Source organism: Homo sapiens, chromosome 17 (genome assembly GCF_000001405.40).
Source record: "Homo sapiens chromosome 17, GRCh38.p14 Primary Assembly".
In the NCBI taxonomy this organism is placed as follows: Eukaryota; Metazoa; Chordata; class Mammalia; order Primates; family Hominidae; genus Homo; species Homo sapiens.
In genome coordinates, this window is record NC_000017.11 from 39,523,392 (window position 1) to 39,543,614 (window position 20,223).

A 20,223-nucleotide genomic window follows, 5' to 3' on the forward strand; every position below is an offset into this window, starting at 1 on the left:
CTTGAACCTGGGAGGCGGAGGTTGCAGTGAACTGAGATTGCACCACTGCACTCTAGCCTGGGCAACAGAGCAAGACTCTGTCTCAAAAGAAAAAGAAAAAAAAAGTATTTTATCTTTGAATTTGTCAGTGACAGTATTATAGCTTTAATGTCAAATTTTGGAGGTCATTTTCTTAAGAAAGACTACATGTCTTAAAAATGGATAGGATGTTAGTTCATGAGTAGGTAGTAATTCTAAATCTGATTGCTCCAAAGAAATGTCCAAATTCATTTATTTTTTTGAGACAGACTCTTGTTCTGTTGCTCAGGCTGGAGTGCAGTGGTGTGATCTCGGCTCACTGCAGCCTCCACCTCCCAGGTTCAAGCAATCCTCCTGCTTCAGCCTCCTTAGTAGCTGGGATTACAGGCACACACCACCACACTTGGCTAATTTTTGTATTTTTAGCAGAGACCAGGTTTCACCATGTTGCCAGGCTAGTCTCGAACTCCTGACCTCATGATCCGCCTGCCTCTACCTCCCAAAGTGCTGGGATTACAGGCATGAGCTGCCGCGCCCAGCCAAATTCATTTATTACACTAGAATGTTGATACATTGAATATGACTTGAAACATATAAGGGTTTTACTGAAATTTGGGAACTCCTATTATAGAGAGATTTATAGTAAGATTTGACCTACTTGGTCTGATTGTATGAGAGATTCTGGACTAAGTTATACGTAGTGCTGAACTCCACAGATGAGCAAGTTGATATCCAGTCATAGAAATTCTGTGGGCAGAAAGGGGAAAGAACTAGTCTTTGGTCCTCACAAACCAAATTACACATAAGTTGATTTTGCACAGAGATGTTTTGATCATGATACATGGTTCCATGGTTTAAGTCACCGCCTTTCCTCGACCTTCTGTATACATTAACAAGCCAGCCATTACTGTCCTCGTCTTTATTCCCTACTGAAACTTGACCAATACTGTTCTCCTTTTTTGTTGTTATGCCAAGGAAAGACAGTATTTATATGGGAATTTATATAGCTGGTCTGTACCTAGTATTAGCAAGATCCTCCTTTCTCACTATGTAACTTTCGTACTTTTATTTCCTCAGACTACCATCTGCCATGATTTATTTTACACTGCTGTTACCTACTTTTACTAACTTTTTTGGTTATTTTTGTTTTCCTTATTCTTTACATTTCCCACAGTCTTTGCCTTCCCATTTTAATCCTTTGCTCCTCCATTCATTCACTGCTGCATTCCCTTACATATTTCCCCTTTGCTTTGTCTTTTTCCAGCCTCCCCCACTGGCAGGATTGCCATGAGTTGTGGAGTAAGAAACGGCGACGTCAGCGACAAAGTGGTGTTGTAGTCGAAGAGCCACCTCCATCCAAAACTTCTCGAAAAGAAACTACCTCAGGGACAAGTACTGAGCCTGTGAAGAACAGCAGCCCAGCACCACCTCAGCCTGCTCCTGGCAAGGTGGAGTCTGGGGCTGGGGATGCAATAGGTCAGTGCCAGAATGGGGCCTTTGTGCTTTTGCTAAGCGTATTTGGCAGGTTTTGAAGGTCAAGTGTAAGGAGTTTGTGTGTGTGTCTGTTTTTTAGTTTTTGGTCCAGTGAACCATTAGGAAAGAGGTTAATGTCCTCATTATGGTGAGAAGGAGATTAACCAAGTTTCGTACATATGGTCCAGAAAGTCTACAATAGATCATTTTCCTTTCCTGAAATATGTACGGAACACTGTATCTCAATTAGATGTGTGGCATAAATCAGTGAATTAGGTAAGCCAAATTTAATTTAAGGTTAGTTCACCCATGACTTTATGAAACACATAATTTGGAGCCTTGTTTATATTAGATTTGATAAGACCTTCATAGAATCTAGTAGTGTTAAATTACAATTGCTAAATGTTGTTCTATAGACTGTTATTTTGATCTAAATGTATCTGAAACTATGTCATATTGAACTGTTATAACAAAGTAGTTCTCCTGTGTTATGACCAATTCTTCGGGACAAAAGATACTCTTTTTCTGGTTCACTTTCCCCTCTTCACTTATAGCAGTGGCTTTTAATACTGGCTGTATATTAGAATCATCCTGGAAGCTTTAAAAACAAATATGCCTATACGATTGCCTATCTCTAGGGATGGGTCCTGAGGCATCTGAATAGGAGAGATTTTTAAATCTCTCTTAGTAATTCTGATGTATAATAAAGGATTGAAAATCACAGAACTTGAAAAATACAGATAAAGTGAAGTCACTTTTATGCACAATCCAGAGATGTTTTAGTTATTAGTGCCTGTATTTCTTAAGCGAAAGCATAAAGAGTAACAAAATGTGTCATGACATTTTGAGGCATGAAAAAATGAGACATTTAAAATGAAATTTCATTTTTTGGATATTGTAAGTTGCTGTTGCCAGTTGAAGAAGGCAAAGGGCCCTTGGCCTATCTCATCGTCTTATATTGGCTTCACTGTCTTTCAACAGGCCTTGCTGACATCACACAACAGCTGAATCAAAGTGAATTGGCAGTGTTATTAAACCTGCTGCAGAGCCAAACCGACCTGAGCATCCCTCAAATGGCACAGCTGCTTAACATCCACTCCAACCCAGAGATGCAGCAGCAGCTGGAAGCCCTGAACCAATCCATCAGTGCCCTGACGGAAGCTACTTCCCAGCAGCAGGACTCAGAGACCATGGCCCCAGAGGAGTCTTTGAAGGAAGCACCCTCTGCCCCAGTGATCCTGCCTTCAGCAGAACAGACGACCCTTGAAGCTTCAAGCACACCAGCTGACATGCAGAATATATTGGCAGTTCTCTTGAGTCAGCTGATGAAAACCCAAGAGCCAGCAGGCAGTCTGGAGGAAAACAACAGTGACAAGAACAGTGGGCCACAGGGGCCCCGAAGAACTCCCACAATGCCACAGGAGGAGGCAGCAGGTAAACAGACCGGTCATGAATCTCATTGAGCTCAGGTGCTGTTGATACCCTCTTAAAAATCTCTTAACATTTTTTTTCCCCCACATCAATGGCCTTGGTTTCAGTTATTCTGTAACCTAGTCTACAGGAGAACATAGCACCAAGTAATGTATTTCTTGCTTGGCTTCTTTTATTTAAGTCTCAAAGCTTCCCAAAGCACCTTTCCTATACTGATTGTTTTTCCACCTCCTAGGAGATAGGTAAGTAAAGCCCCTGTGTTCTAACCAAGGAAACCACAACCATAGCTAGTGATGCATCTTGAACCACACATCTTGAACTGTGTGTGGTGGCCAACTAGTCCTAGCACTTGGAAATCTGACTTCCAAACAAACCATTATCAGACTATACTTCTTTACCTCTAGTGGAGTGGATGCTGAATGCCAGTCTTTCCTGGAAGATACAATCAAGAAAACCCTAATAAAATATCATTGTTAATTTCCTGAAGAATAATTTGGGAATATTTCTAAGTAGATAATTAACACTATACATTTCTTTTCCCAAAAATAATAGTGTATAAGAACAATTCCTTTAAATCTGTTTCTGATAGAAGCAATTGAATGGACCCCAGATCAGGAAGTGCGTGTATTATAAAGAAAAAAAAGGAAAATGGGGATAAGTTATACGTTAATCTCACATGACCATAGCGTGCAATTTATTAGAGGGAAAAGCAGTTTAAGTTCTTTAATTCTGATTCACACTGTATTTGCAAAATCTTTACTTATGTAAAAATGTTTTTAACTCCTCGGAAATTCTCACTGTCCATGAAGACCCCATGAATTGGGGAATAAGAAGAGGCTCGAGGGCTGAAGAGATATACTAATCTTCAACTTTAGGGTCCTACATTCACATTTCATATGAGGTGGTGCAGAAAGTATATGTTTTAAGGCCTGGCCTATGGCCAGAAGTTGTTGGATTTACTTTTCAGAGGAAAGTGTAGAGATGCCGTAACTAATTATTGCAGTCACCCCTGGATTATTCAGCTGATGCCTCTACAGTGGCTCACTTGTTCTTGTTTCTCCCCTGCTATCTCTATTTGGCCATTTCACTGTTAATTAGCACTTCCACCAGAGGGCAGACTGTATAAACCAGAGAAGGTGACAGCCTATTAATTGGGCTGCTGTTTTACTATTCTGTACTTACTGGGAAGGGTGATAAGTTGAAATCAAATGAGTAAAATGAAGGGTTTTGTTTGTTTATTTGTTTGTTTTTGGAGGCGGAGTCTTACTCCATTGCCCAGGCTGGAGTGCAATGGCATGATCTTGGCTCACTGCAACTTCCGTCTCCTGGGTTCAAGCGATTCTCCTGCCTCAGCCTCCTGAGTAGCTGGGATTATAGGCATGCACCTCCATGTCCAGCTAATTTTGTATTTTTAGTGGAAACGAGGTTTCACCATGTTAGCCAGGCTGGTCTCGAACTCCCAGCCTCAGGTGATCTGCCCGCCTCAGCCTCCCATAGTGCTGGGATTACAGGCTTGAGCCACTACCCCCGGCCTGAAGTTTTAAATTTATTTTTACATTTCAATAATACATCCTTATTGTTGTCAATCCTGAAAGTCCGTACTTTTTTTTTGTTTGTTTTGAGACAGAGTCTCTCTCTGTCACCCAGGCTGGAATGCAATGGCGCGATCTTGGTGCACTGCAGCCTCTGCCTCCTGGGTTCAAGCAATTCTCCTGCCTCAGCCTCCCAAGTAGCTGGGATTACAGGCACCTGCCACCACACCTGGCTAATTTTTTTTTGTATTTTTAGTAGAGATGGGGTTTCACTGTGTTGGCCAGGCTGGTCTTGAACTGCCGACCTCTGGTGATCCACCCGCCTTAGCCTCCCAAAGTGCTGGGATTACAGGTGTGAACCACCACACCCAGCCAAAAGTCCATACTTTTAAGGATTGACAACATTGATACTTTAGATCATAACAATATGATTTATAATTCATATTTTTAATTCCTTTAAGAAGTATTAGGCTTACTTTAATAAGTTTTTTTGTTTGTTTGTTTTTGAGATGGAGTCTCGCTCTGTCACCCAGGCTGGAGTGCAGTGGCGTGATCTCAGCTCATTGCAAACCCTACCTCCCAGGTTCAAGCGATTCTCCTGCCTCAGCCTCCTAGTAGCTGGGATTACAGGTGTGTGACACCAGGCCCGGCTAATTTTTTTGTATTTTTAGTAGAGACGGGGTTTCACCTTGTTGGCCAGGCTGGTCTCTAACTCCTGACCTCAAGTGATCTGCCTTCCTTGTTCTCCCAAAGTACTGGGATTACAGGCATGAGCCACCATGCCCAGCCTTTGCTACTTTGGAATAGAATTTTTATTTTACACATATGAAAGAATTTGACCTCAAGTGTTAGTTCTGTTGAAACATAATTAGGCTATTTACATAAAAGGCACAGTTTGAATACAAAAAAATGGCATAGCTGGAAGAATGTAAGTTTAGATTATCTCACTTTTACAGTTACACATTTTTAAGTTATTTGACCTCGGTATTAAAAATCCTCGTGTTCCATTTTATGTGTAGTCCAGAAATACTTTTTAAATAACTGGTACAGTGATGTCCTTATATAGAGAGTGTTGAAAGCAAAAGGCTCTGAAATCTATCATTACTTGTAGTCCAGTTTGCCCTCCTTTTTCAGCATGTCTACTCTCCATGTTCAAAATTTTCCATGGCTAATTTTTTGTCCTTAAATTCATTTTCCCCTGCCACCCTGTCAACCAGCCAATCAGTCAACAAATAACTTGGGTGGGTACTATACATAGGGTCACCAATTCATTCCTGAACTGTCCCGGTTTTAAAGCTGAACATTGACAACCTGGAAAACCCCCTCAGTCCCAGACAAACTGGGACTGTTGGTCACCCTGCTTGGATGTTACATGTAACACCTGACCATCTTTTGTACTGTACAACCTTACAATTTTGTAGTGTTTTCAGAGTGCTTTCATCTGCATGCTAAGGGAATACAAACTTAATTACTGATTGTCTTTGCAAAATATAATTAAGGTAAATATGCTACAAAAATATCTAATTATAACTAAAAACTGTTTTTGGCTTGTTTTGAGTAATGACTTTACATCACAGCTTAGATAATTGAAGAATGACTATATATATATTTTAAAATATGCTTCCATAGGGAAAAGAAAAATCGGTCATTTGGAAGATATCCCAAAACATTAAATCTTTTCTTCAGCAGGATGACTCTCAATTTTCTAAAGGCATTGTTCTACCATACTTCTGTCTCAGTGGTTTTCTTTGTCCTCAAACTCATACCATTTTACATCTCTCCTCTCCTGCCTTGGCAGGAGTTCATTATCAGACAATGTTTATCATGCTTAAGCACATTTAGGCAGCAGTGGAAAAAAGAAAGTCTGGTGGAAGTAGTTCAAGAAAGACAAAAGATCTTTGTAAAGACAGAGTATAGTATGAATTTAATATATTTCTAAATATTTAGTTCTTGTCACCGTCTCCAAGATAAACAGATGTTTATCAACAGTTCATTCTGCATGACACTGCTATAGTGATTTTTTTTTCATAGCATGGAAAAAAATGCAGTAGTTAGGAAAACAAAATAGAAAATTATGATAGAAATTAGTCTTTAAAATTACTGTAACATAGGAAGCTGAATGATAATATGGTAGTTACAATCCTTTCAGACTATGATTTTGGGGAGACGTGACTAAAGTTTGGAGAAGCAAGTGTATTTTTATACATGACAGTAATGAAAACTTTTTACTTTATTTTATCTCTCCTATATATTCTTTAAGTTTTATTTCAGGTTAACCTATGTCATCAAACATTCTGTAAAATGTGTTAGCCAAGTCCATGCAAGGTCTCTGTTGTAGAGCAAGATTATGTCCTAGAAATGTGACCACAGCATGTATATTGTTCCCTCTCATCTTCCTTCCTTCTGCTTTGTTTTAATGTTTCCATCTAACAGCAAAAAGGGGCAGGGAGTCTGCCAACAGCCTGCATGTTAGAACAGTTCTTTAAAGGAAGGAAATGGAGGAAATCTTAGACCAAAATCAGGATAATCATTTGAAACATATGATATTTTTACACTAGCTGTTAGATCCAGGATGCAACTGTTTTACTTTTAATCACTTGATTTATTTATAATTGCAATTTTCTGATCCCAAGATTTTATTCTTTATATATCTGGTTACTTATATTGATATTTGTTTATGTTGCACAGTGTGTGTGTTTGTGTTTATAATCACATGTGCTTTTTAAGATGGTGTTTAAAAGAAGTAACCCTTCCACAGCATGTCCTCCTCACATTCTTCCACCAGAGAAGAGGCCCCCTGAGCCCCCCGGACCTCCACCGCCGCCACCTCCACCCCCTCTGGTTGAAGGCGATCTTTCCAGCGCCCCCCAGGAGTTGAACCCAGCCGTGACAGCCGCCTTGCTGCAACTTTTATCCCAGCCTGAAGCAGAGCCTCCTGGCCACCTGCCACATGAGCACCAGGCCTTGAGACCAATGGAGTACTCCACCCGACCCCGTCCAAACAGGACTTATGGAAACACTGATGGGCCTGAAACAGGGTTCAGTGCCATTGACACTGATGAACGAAACTCTGGTCCAGCCTTGACAGAATCCTTGGTCCAGACCCTGGTGAAGAACAGGACCTTCTCAGGCTCTCTGAGCCACCTTGGGGAGTCCAGCAGTTACCAGGGCACAGGGTCAGTGCAGTTTCCAGGGGACCAGGACCTCCGTTTTGCCAGGGTCCCCTTAGCGTTACACCCGGTGGTCGGGCAACCATTCCTGAAGGCTGAGGGAAGCAGCAATTCTGTGGTACATGCAGAGACCAAATTGCAAAACTATGGGGAGCTGGGGCCAGGAACCACTGGGGCCAGCAGCTCAGGAGCAGGCCTTCACTGGGGGGGCCCAACTCAGTCTTCTGCTTATGGAAAACTCTATCGGGGGCCTACAAGAGTCCCACCAAGAGGGGGAAGAGGGAGAGGAGTTCCTTACTAACCCAGAGACTTCAGTGTCCTGAAAGATTCCTTTCCTATCCATCCTTCCATCCAGTTCTCTGAATCTTTAATGAAATCATTTGCCAGAGCGAGGTAATCATCTGCATTTGGCTACTGCAAAGCTGTCCGTTGTATTCCTTGCTCACTTGCTACTAGCAGGCGACTTACGAAATAATGATGTTGGCACCAGTTCCCCCTGGATGGGCTATAGCCAGAACATTTACTTCAACTCTACCTTAGTAGATACAAGTAGAGAATATGGAGAGGATCATTACATTGAAAAGTAAATGTTTTATTAGTTCATTGCCTGCACTTACTGATCGGAAGAGAGAAAGAACAGTTTCAGTATTGAGATGGCTCAGGAGAGGCTCTTTGATTTTTAAAGTTTTGGGGTGGGGGATTGTGTGTGGTTTCTTTCTTTTGAATTTTAATTTAGGTGTTTTGGGTTTTTTTCCTTTAAAGAGAATAGTGTTCACAAAATTTGAGCTGCTCTTTGGCTTTTGCTATAAGGGAAACAGAGTGGCCTGGCTGATTTGAATAAATGTTTCTTTCCTCTCCACCATCTCACATTTTGCTTTTAAGTGAACACTTTTTCCCCATTGAGCATCTTGAACATACTTTTTTTCCAAATAAATTACTCATCCTTAAAGTTTACTCCACTTTGACAAAAGATACGCCCTTCTCCCTGCACATAAAGCAGGTTGTAGAACGTGGCATTCTTGGGCAAGTAGGTAGACTTTACCCAGTCTCTTTCCTTTTTTGCTGATGTGTGCTCTCTCTCTCTCTTTCTCTCTCTCTCTCTCTCTCTCTCTCTCTCTCTCTCTCTCTGTCTCGCTTGCTCGCTCTCGCTGTTTCTCTCTCTTTGAGGCATTTGTTTGGAAAAAATCGTTGAGATGCCCAAGAACCTGGGATAATTCTTTACTTTTTTTGAAATAAAGGAAAGGAAATTCAGACTCTTACATTGTTCTCTGTAACTCTTCAATTCTAAAATGTTTTGTTTTTTAAACCATGTTCTGATGGGGAAGTTGATTTGTAAGTGTGGACAGCTTGGACATTGCTGCTGAGCTGTGGTTAGAGATGATGCCTCCATTCCTAGAGGGCTAATAACAGCATTTAGCATATTGTTTACACATATATTTTTATGTCAAAAAAAAAACAAAAACCTTTCAAACAGAGCATTGTGATATTGTCAAAGAGAAAAACAAATCCTGAAGATACATGGAAATGTAACCTAGTTTAGGGTGGGTATTTTTCTGAAGATACATCAATACCTGACCTTTTTTAAAAAAATAATTTTAAAACAGCATACTGTGAGGAAGAACAGTATTGACATACCCACATCCCAGCATGTGTACCCTGCCAGTTCTTTTAGGGATTTTTCCTCCAAAGAGATTTGGATTTGGTTTTGGTAAAAGGGGTTAAATTGTGCTTCCAGGCAAGAACTTTGCCTTATCATAAACAGGAAATGAAAAAGGGAAGGGCTGTCAGGATGGGATAATTTGGGAGGCTTCTCATTCTGGCTTCTATTTCTATGTGAGTACCAGCATATAGAGTGTTTTAAAAACAGATACATGTCATATAATTTATCTGCACAGACTTAGACCTTCAGGAAACATAGGTTAAGCCCCCTTTTACAAAGAAAAAGTAAACATACTTCAGCATCTTGGAGGGTAGTTTTCAAAACTCAAGTTTCATGTTTCAATGCCAAGTTCTTATTTTAAAAAATAAAATCTACTTATAAGAGAAAGGTGCATTACTTAAAAAAAAAAAACTTTAAAGAAATGAAAGAAGAACCCTCTTCAGATACTTACTTGAAGACTGTTTTCCCCTGTTAATGAGATATAGCTAGATATCGGTGTGTGTATTTCTTTATTATTCTCTGGTTTTTGATCTGGCCTTGCCTCCAGGGCCAAACACTGATTTAGAAAGAGAGCCTTCTAGCTATTTTGGCATTGATGGCTTTTTATACCAGTGTGTCCAGTTAGATTTACTAGGCTTACTGACATGCTATTGGTAAATCGCATTAAAGTTCATCTGAACCTTCTGTCTGTTGACTTCTTAGTCCTCAGACATGGGCCTTTGTGTTTTAGAATATTTGAATTTGAGTTATTGGGCCCCACTCCCTGTTTTTTATTAAAGAACGTGAGCCTGGGATACTTTCAGAAGTATCTGTTCAATGAAAAAAAGTTGGTTTCCCATCAAATATGAATAAAATTCTCTATATATTTCATTGTATTTTGGTTATCAGCAGTCATCAATAATGTTTTTCCCTCCCCTCTCCCACCTCTTATTTTTAATTATGCCAAATATCCTAAATAATATACTTAAGCCTCCATTCCCTCATCCCTACTAGGGAAGGGGGTGAGTGTATGTGTGAGTGTATGTGTATGTATGATCCCATCTCACCCCCACCCCCATTTTGGGAGTCTTTTAAAATGAAAACAAAGTTTGGTAGTTTTGACTATTTCTAAAAGCAGAGGAGAAAAAAAAACTTATTTAAATATCCTGGAATCTGTATGGAGGAAGAAAAGGTATTTGTTAATTTTTCAGTTACGTTATCTATAAACATGATGGAAGTAAAGGTTTGGCAGAATTTCACCTTGACTATTTGAAAATTACAGACCCAATTAATTCCATTCAAAAGTGGTTTTCGTTTTGTTTTAATTATTGTACAATGAGAGATATTGTCTATTAAATACATTATTTTGAACAGATGAGAAATCTGATTCTGTTCATGAGTGGGAGGCAAAACTGGTTTGACCGTGATCATTTTTGTGGTTTTGAAAACAAATATACTTGACCCAGTTTCCTTAGTTTTTTCTTCAACTGTCCATAGGAACGATAAGTATTTGAAAGCAACATCAAATCTATACGTTTAAAGCAGGGCAGTTAGCACAAATTTGCAAGTAGAACTTCTATTAGCTTATGCCATAGACATCACCCAACCACTTGTATGTGTGTGTGTATATATAATATGCATATATAGTTACCGTGCTAAAATGGTTACCAGCAGGTTTTGAGAGAGAATGCTGCATCAGAAAAGTGTCAGTTGCCACCTCATTCTCCCTGATTTAGGTTCCTGACACTGATTCCTTTCTCTCTCGTTTTTGACCCCCATTGGGTGTATCTTGTCTATGTACAGATATTTTGTAATATATTAAATTTTTTTCTTTCAGTTTATAAAAATGGAAAGTGGAGATTGGAAAATTAAATATTTCCTGTTACTATACCACTTTTGCTCCATTGCATTTACTTCTTAATCTGTACCCCCTGAGCATATCTAATCATGTATAAAGGACGTTTTTCCTCCACTTTATCTTAGGGGTTCTCTGTCTCAGAATCATTATAGACTCATTAACTCCCCCTCCCAGCAAAAGGTTATCAGGATTTGAAGAGGTGCTTGAAAACGCTAGACTAGGAACTAGAGAATAAATGAGTTGGGAAAAACCATGAAATGTGATTTTTTTAAAGTAGAAAAGTTATACAAATAATGGTACCAAACCATCAAAAGAGTTGAGCTTCATGTACCCTGACTCCTCCTGACAGGAGAGGTAAGTGGGTTTGAGCTCAACTGTCATCAAGGGAAGTTGGTAAGAGGCTGTTTAGACCCAAAGGATAGTCTTAAACCAGACTTCACCACCCACCCTACCTCAGTTCCCATGTTATTACATGCAGAGTCAGCATGGGGATTAGTGTACCTACCTTTGCTGAGATTTCCCGATGCGTTGCCAATCCAGAAAGTGAATCAAAAAGTTGTTTAAAAGTTAAAATCTCTATTGTTTCCAAAATCTTTCCCATCTCCACCTGAAGACAGAATTGCTTCCCCTTCTCTTTCATGGCTTAGAACACAGGATAAATTTGCCCCTGTGGTATGTGCTGCAATCCTGCTAGTTATGACAAATGGGCAGAGGGCAGATAAAGTCCACTAGGAGAAAGAAAGAAGGGCGATAGGTATCTGAAGTTGTAAATGGGGTGAGCAAGTCATACAGGAAGGTTAAGGGATACACCAGAGCAAGGGAAATTAGAAGGAAGTTGAGTTCAAAAACTGGTGATGATGAGAGTTGCTAACCTGTTTTTGAATCCTCAAAAGTTTAAGTGGTGTTCCCTTTCCTGTGGGCTAAGTCACATCTTATAAGGAGAATGGAGAGCTCAAGATTGTTCCAATTTCTGGAATTATGTGTTCCTGGTTGCAAGTTCATGATTGGGGTATAAACTTCAACCTACTAGAAAATACTGTTTTCACTTCATAGCAGTGAAAATTGAAGCAGTGTCTTTTCAATTCTGGGCCTAAAGGCTGAGGACCTTACTAACCTAGATTTTTCTGTCATACCCAAGGCCATTTCTAACCAGAAACCATGCTGTTCAGTACCTCAATTTCTTAGGCACTGTTCTTTCCTAGATAGGCATCCTTAACTGTATGGTTAATGCCTCAAAGAAGTAAACAGTTAATGCTCTTGGTGCTGATCTTGGGATTTCCATTGTTATTAAAGATTGCCTCATAGCTTGACTGTTTTTTAACTATGGAGTGACTTTTCATATCCTAATCATCCATAAGGGCTAAGTGGAATGGGAATGGGGAATTCCTCAAGGGAGGAAGCACTCAACCATTCCAAGGGAGAGGTGGAACTGCTGAGTCTTCTGGTTGTCCTGAGAGGCAAGGTGAGCATTCCTGGACACTTTGGTTAATTTTACTGTCCAGGTGTGACAGTTCTTATCTGTAGGAACACCTCCAGTGTTCCTAATTAGGAATTCTCTCAAGTAGGAGATTACTCCAAGCCAGAGTTGAAAGACTGGGGGAGTACGACACCTGAAGGAATTACTGGTGGTACTCCTTACTGTACGCAACTGTCTCTCCATCTCCTATCCACCCACTTCTTTTCCCTATTTCTCTTTCTCCCCACTCACCATTCAACTGGAATAATTTAGGCCTACCATCGGTATTGATTGCTTAACCCTACCAGGTATTTAGAGTTACTGCTATTTCATTGTTTTGAAAGGTAATGAGAGTCAATTCAGAAGACAAATGTCTATCTGGATCCTCAACCTACTGTAGTGGAAAGTGAAGGAGAAAGTAAACTAACCATACTTTCTTATTGCTAGGAGCTATGAAAGGAGCTTTTCATTTGTGTTATGTAGGGTACAAAAGATTATTTTGTACCCTGGCCAGGAAAGGCAGGGAGTCATCTTTCTGTCTTCCTGCTTCCCCTCTTTCAACCTTCACCTTTTTATCCTCTTCTTCCATATCCTGAGATTGTTGCTTTTGCTGATGACATTTCTAAGCTCAGTTGCAGATGGTGTCTGTGGGAAGTAAAGCTTGGTGAGAAGAGGGCTCTCTGGTATCTAAGAGAAAGCAGATAAGAGTTGCTTTAATGTCCTGGTGATTAATCACTGGGGTGCCAAAACACTTTGACCACTGGATTTCTCTCATATCTCTTATCTCAAAAAATTAGTACTCCAAGGCTGAGAGAAAGAGACTGATACTGAGTTTGTCTTTCATACCCTCTAAGTGGGTAGTTTGTTAGTGGACCATTCTCAATTTGCAACCTTCAGCTACAGCATACTTCTGTGGAATAAGAAGGTATAGCCATGAAATAAATTTACTTAGACCCAGGTTCTCTAGGACCTGTAAATGGATGGACTTTTTGATATCTTGCTCTGGCATGTTTGTAAACTACAGATAGTATTGACAGCTCTAAAGGAATGAAGGGCATTTTATCCAGGCCAAACCAACCCTGAGGGAGGCAGCATGAAGAAACCTTTAAGAAGTCCACCATATAGCAGTCAGAGCTAAGTAAAGAACAAAGTCTGAGTCTTGGAGGATGTCTTTTCTCTACCTAAGGGGCCTATCTGATGGACTCTCTAGGAGGGGATCCTTCTCCCTCCTCAGTCTCAGAACTACAATAGTGCCTAATGAGGGACACCCTTGGTGAGGATCAGCTTGTAGATGACCCTCCTCACCAAGGCTAATGCAATTTTGAATGCATTTGGACCTGGAGAAAACAGGCTGAATTCAAAGACCTAAAGAAAGCTTAGTAGCCTGGTCCCTTTTTTAAAGTCTGGAACTTTTTAGTTTGGCCTTATACTAGTGTTAATATTTATAATTTCTGTTAGGGGACCAAAAGTCTCAGAAAATGAAGCAATATAAGAGGTGGAAATAAGGGTAAGAAGGGAGAACTAGAAGAGTCTGGTAGCTGGGCTGCAGAAAGAGACTTGGGGTATAATTCCTTATTTTTATTTATTTATTTATTTATTTATTTATTTATTTATTTATTTTTGAGATGGACTTGCTCTTCTTGGAGTGCAGTGGTGTGATCTCGGCTCACTGCAGCCTCCACCTCCCAGGTTCCAGCAATTCTCCTGTCTCAGCCTCCCAAGTAGCTGGGATTACAGGTGCGTGCCACCATGCCCAGCTAATTTTTTGTATTTTTAGTAGTGACAGGGTTTCACCATGCTGGCCAGGCTGGTCTTGAACTCCTGACCTTGTGATCCACCCGCCTCGGCCTCCCAAAGTGCTCGGCCTCCCAAAGTGAGCCACCGCGCCCAGCTTGGATATAATTGCTTATAAAGAAGAGAGGGATACAGGATGGAAGGAAAAATTATGGTTGAGTTAGTGAAATTTATAGGATAATTTTCTTAGAGATTCACAGTTCATTTCAGGAAGACCCCATTAAAGCACCAATACTGAGTAAAGAATTCCCCTTAATTACAGTAGTCTTACCTTTAGGGTTGGAGGATGGGCCAAGAACCCCTAGGATACTATGAAGACATTTTCTGTAGGGAAACTAGAAAAGATGGGCAAATATGTTAAGCAATATGTAAGGACATTTACTTAACACTGTTATCTACATAGTTCAAGAGAGTAATTCAAGAATAAGGAGGAATGACATGGATGCATCACATTAAACAGTTATTTGTATTGTTTGAATTTCAAAACTCCTGCAAGTGGTTTTAGGTATGCTAAGTCAACCTAGAGACTAGTAGTATTCCTCTGCCACTCATTTTAGATCCAAATGATGGCAGTGCATAGAAGAACAAACGAGAATATGCGAATTAGAGTCACAGAATGTTAGAGCTACAAAAGAAGATTAGTTTGTTTGGTTCAGTACCATCTTTAACCAGTAAAAAATGCCCAGAAAGGCCGAGGAACATGTATGGTGTTGCGAGAAAGAAGGGAGAGAAAGGGAACTAACATTGTTGGGTACCTGCTATGTGTCAGGCGCTGCCTAAGTGCTTTGTTTTTATCTTGATTGATTAGCACCTTGAGGCTAAGGGATAGAATGAATAAATGGCAAACCCCGGCTACCTGGGAGCGGTGGCTCACGCCTGTAATCCCAGCACTTTGGGAGGCCAAGGTGGGTGGATCACGAGGTCAGGAGATCGAGACCATTCTGGCTTACACGGTGAAACCCCATCTCTACTAAAAATACAAAAAATTAGCCAGGCGTGGTGGCACAAGCCTGTAGTCCCAGCTTCCCGGGAGGCTGAGGCAGGAGAATTTGCTTGAACCCAGGAGGTGGAGGTTGCAGTGAGTGAAGATTGCGCCACTTCACTCCAGCCTAGGCGACAGAATGAGACTCCATCTCAAATAAATACATACATACATACATACATACATACATACATACATACATACATACATAAGGCTAGTATCCTGAGCAATATGTAGGAGATAAAAGGGAGTGGTAGACCACGTTTTTCTCTCTAACCACACAGGGCTAAACTAGAGGAAGTAAAGAGTCAGCATTTGAGAGTGAGGTTAATCTAAGGAAGTATTTGCCAAACTGTTGAAAGCGACTCATAAATAACTTCTCCATTCCTAGAGACCTTCCAAAACATGTTGATAAGAGTTAGGACTGATAGGGACCAAGATTACTCTTGGCTCTGGAATTGATTTTCATTTTGGAAAATCAAGTCATGACCTGAGAATGTGGGATTAATTGTACAAATAGGAAACAAAATGGAGCTTCTCATCCTAAAATGTCTTCAAAGAGAATAGTATTTATCTACCATGAATGAAGGAGATAAATTCCTTTGGTGACTGTACTTGTTTTTTTGTTTTGTTTTGTAACACTTTGAAGTCATGAAACTGAATTTGTAATCTTGGGGAGATTCAGTGCCAAGTTCAAGGCAGGTGGCAATTTGAAAATTGACAGAATAAGATTGTGTTCCTCATGGTTGTTTGATATAATATCCCAATAGTTATACCATGAGGGCTGCTTCAGTGGGGAGCATTAATATCATTAGCAGAGGCATGTCCTGTGTACAGACAGGACAACCTCTGAGGAAGAAGACTGGGGGAGGGTCCCACCTTCAGGAAGCTTCTGGGTCTTGTGAGAGAGGTCAGTCTTACAGCTGGTGGAGAGTGGGGAATCTGTAAGTCAACATATCAATGCAGGTTGTAATATAAAACTATTATAATAAGAGGAAACCAAAGGAAAGAAATAATCGGAGAAAGTGGACTTATTCAGAAACAATTATTTGAAAATAAAGAAGATAGGGGACATAGAACAGAAGAGGAAGGTGAGCAGTGGGAGGAATCTCATGGAAGAGGGCTCATGTATGTTTTGTGCAGAGGCTGTGAATTGGCTGACCAGAATGGTACAGGAAAGGAGTATTAGGAAATGAAGTTGGAGGAGCAATCTCATTGGCTTGAATGAGGAATTTGAGTTGTTAAGCAGTAGCAGGGAACAGAGCATGATGAGATGAAAATCACATTGAGGACTTTTGTAGCAGTACTTGGTCAAGGAAGCAGGAAAGTTCACTAAAATATTATTGTTCTTGCCAAGACATGAAGCACTGAGAGTTTACAGTAGAGTAAGACAAGGAGAATCAGAGGAAAGAAAGTGGGTCCATAGGAATTAGCAAGGCTTGGTCACAGCTTGGATGTGAGGAGAGGGATAAAAGCCTCAGGATGATGATCCCAAGACACATTTGTGCTGTTGGTGGTGATGAAAGCTTGATAAGAGGGAACTGCTTTGTTTTTAAGTAGGAAGTGTTTTGTCTTATTAACCAATTGATAGGATGTGTCAATGTTCAGTATTGCAGAGTCTAGGAGGGGGCACTGCCCCTGGAGGATAGTGGAGCATGCACCATGTGTCCAGATGATAACCTGCATGCACCCTGCCCTTTTCAGGTTGAAGAACCAGGCAAGAGGGAGTCTGTTGCTAGGGTGTGCCCATAGACTTCAAGAATGCTATCCTACTCTGGATCTGGGAAAGAAAATAGTATTTTTGCCAGTTTCTTCCCCTTTAATGCTTTGAAAATGGGATATGACTAGCCTGTGGCAGCATGTGCCTGTGGATGCACAATTCTCTAGCTTGATTCTTGGAAGGCCTTTTTCTGTCCCTCCCTAGGGATCATTTGTATCTCTGATTCCTGCTCCCAGAGCCATAAAGTGGGAGCCCCCATTTATTAATTGGGCTGGGACTGGGGCGGGGGTCGGCGGGGGACTCTTTAGTGCGGCAGGCGGGGGTCTTCCCGAATGAGCCCATTAGCCAGCCCCAACGGCAGCTGAAACGGGGCCTCAGCCAAGTCCTCTCTGTTTCAAAAACCCTCCATTCCCTGCAGCAGATCAGAACAAGGCCTGCGGGAGCCCTTAGCTTCTGATTGCAGCTGAGAGGAAGGACAAAACAATTTATAGGAAGCCAAGTAGCTCCTGTCTCACTGTGTCTTCCTTTCCAACTTTGGGGAAGGGGAAGACTGGGATATGGTGTCGCCTCCCACCATGGCTTGTTACAGGCTTAAAGTAGGGGAGAATGAGAGTATATGGACATTGATTGAACACTTATGTCAATGCTGTGGATGTGTTTACACATGTCCCTGCTTTCTTCTTCCCATCTACACACAGTTGAGTTGGATTAGCAGCTACTACTTATGGGGGGCTCCCTAGGTGTGTGCTAAGTCTGGGGGGTGGGGAGGTATGCTTATCATACTCCTTCCTGCCCCATACCTGCTCTCAGTCTCCCATTTGCTTTATCAAAATTCAGGGTTAGAGTTAGACTGCCTCAACTTCTTTTCCTCTTAATGGGAGGAGTTTGAGTTTGGCTCTTTTTTTTTTTTTTTTTTTTTTTGAGACAGAGTCTCGCTCTGTCACCCAGGCTGGAGTGCAGTGGCGCGATCTCGGCTCACTGCAAGCTCCGCCTCCTGGGTTCATGCCATTCTGCCTCAGCCTCCCAAGTAGCTGGGACTACAGGCACCCGCCACCATGCCTGGCTAATTTTTTTGTATTTTTAGTAGAGACAGGGTTTCACCATGTTAGCCAGGATGATCTCGATCTCCAGACCTCGTGATCAGCCTCCCAAAGTGCTGGGATTACAGGCGTGAGCCACCGCATCCGGCCCCGAGTTTGGCTCTTAAAGGAAGGCCTCCTTCTGAAACATACTTGTCCCTTTGGTTAAGCCAGCAAGGGAAAGGTAGGCATCTATAGGGGAGTTTCTCTGCAGTGGCCCAGAGAGAAGCTGTAAAGGGCAGGAATGAATGTATCACTTCCTGATGGAATGACACGTCTTCTCCCTTAGGGAATCATAGATTGCCAGGGCTAGGAAAGAGGTCAGGTAATCTAACCTCTCCCTTTACAGAGCAGGAAACTGAGGCTTAAGGAAGGAAAGTGCCTTGCCCACGCAGTCGCACAGCGAGTTAATGGCAGCCAGCCAGAACTAGATCCAAGAGGCCAGAATCTTGACTTCTGCGAGTAGAGTGCCCCCAACTTTAAGATGACCCTTTCCTGAGAGCCCTGAGCTTCTTCAGGAAAGGAAGGATGGACTGTGAGATTTGAGGAGGGAGAGAGAGATTGAGGGGGAAAGGTAGATCTAGAAAGACTGGGAAATTATATATACATATATATATGTGTGTGTGTGTGTATCTTAAAGAATAATCTTTTTTTTTTTTTGAGACGGAGTTTCGCTCTTGTCACTCAGGCTGGAGTGCAATGGCGCGATCTCGGCTCACTGCAACCTCCACCTTCTGGGTTCAAGCGATTCTCCTGCCTCAGCCTCCCGAGTAACTAATGGCTAATTTTTTTGTATTATGTAGCCTGGCTAATTTTTTTGTATTTTTAGTAGAGACGGGGTTTCACCATGTTGGCCAGTCTGATCTCAAACTCCTGACCTCAGGTGATCTGCCTGCCTCGGCCTCCCAAAGTGCTGGGATTACAGGCGTGAGCCACCGCGCCCAGCCTCTTATTTTCTTTTTCTTTTTCTTTTCTTTTTTTTTGAAACGGCGTTTCATTCTTGTTGCCCAGGCTGGAGTGCAATGGTACGATCTTGGCTCACCACAACCTCTGGCCTCCCGGGTTTGAGCAACTCTCCTGCCTCAGCCTCCCAAGTAGCTGGGATTACAGGCATGTGCCACCATGCCCGGCTAATTTTGTATTTTTAGTAGAGATGGGGTTTCACCATGTTGGTCAGGCTGGTCTTGAACTCCTGACCTCAGGTGATCCACCCACCTGAGCCTCCCAAAGTGCTGAGATTACAGGCGTGAGCCACTGCACCCAGTCTAAGAATAATCTTTCAATGACATGCAGATTATACAAGTGTAATTTTTATTTAAAGTCAAGAGGCTGGTTCATTGGGAAGCAGATGGCAGCCACAGCCAAAGATCCTGATGCCCTCAGAGTTAACCCAAACTTCAAAGAGCATTTTGCAACTATCTCTGGAGGTTGGATAGCAGGAAAAGATCCTTAGAGGCAATGTGAGGAATTCACCCTAAATCTCAACTGAAGCTCTTTTGCTATATTGAAAAGAAAAAGGGAATGGAGAAAGAAAACACATCGGCTAGAAAACTATGGTGGCGGAAGGGGGTCCCTGAATGATAGATGAGATGATAGAACTCAGCAAAAAGAGGTATGCTCTGAGATTACAGGAAAATGGTAAGGGGACCTTCTCCTCTCCTTTATTTTAGTTTTTAAAGTTTTGAGTTGTTTGATATTCTCCTTTGATGAGGCAGAAGGAAGGTGGTATGTGGTGATCCACAGTGGCCTAAATACCCTAAATAGTGTGTTCAGTTGGCTGACACGCATTGCTGGTTCTGTAAGTCATCTCAGTCTGGTGCCAAGATGCCTTTCCCTCTTTAGACCCCTCCTGGATGTATCTACAGTCCCTTCCAGTGTTTGCTTTCTCTGAGCATATGAGTCTGGGAGCCACTGATGAGCAGAGAGTGGAATACTGGAGCATGCCTAGGCTGGAAGCAGAATGGTGAAGGGAGGAGGGCATCATTGGGCAGATTAGAAAGAGTTAATGGGTCTAGGGGAGAGGTACTGGGGATCTGCAAAGTGAATATTGTCTGCTGCTGATGAAGAAATA

General features: G+C 41.6%; 1 protein-coding gene across 50 annotated transcripts in view; it reads left to right on the forward strand.

Annotated features, from left to right (window-relative positions):
* The window catches only part of CDK12 (cyclin dependent kinase 12), a 106,074-nt gene that overhangs the window by 61,906 nt on the left and 23,945 nt on the right, over window positions 1–20,223 (forward strand). For 21 of the 50 annotated variants that reach the window (XM_047436278.1, XM_047436267.1, XM_047436277.1 and 18 more), the window contains exons 12-14: window positions 1,283–1,494; window positions 2,473–2,925; window positions 7,240–7,630. In XM_047436278.1, coding sequence (XP_047292234.1) covers window positions 1,283–1,494; window positions 2,473–2,925; window positions 7,240–7,630 — 1,056 coding nt within the window. Of the gene's footprint in view, window positions 1–1,282; window positions 1,495–2,472; window positions 2,926–7,212; window positions 11,154–20,223 lie in introns of those variants that run through there. The other 29 variants (XM_047436256.1, XM_047436261.1, XM_047436260.1 and 26 more) reach the window with 4 other exon arrangements.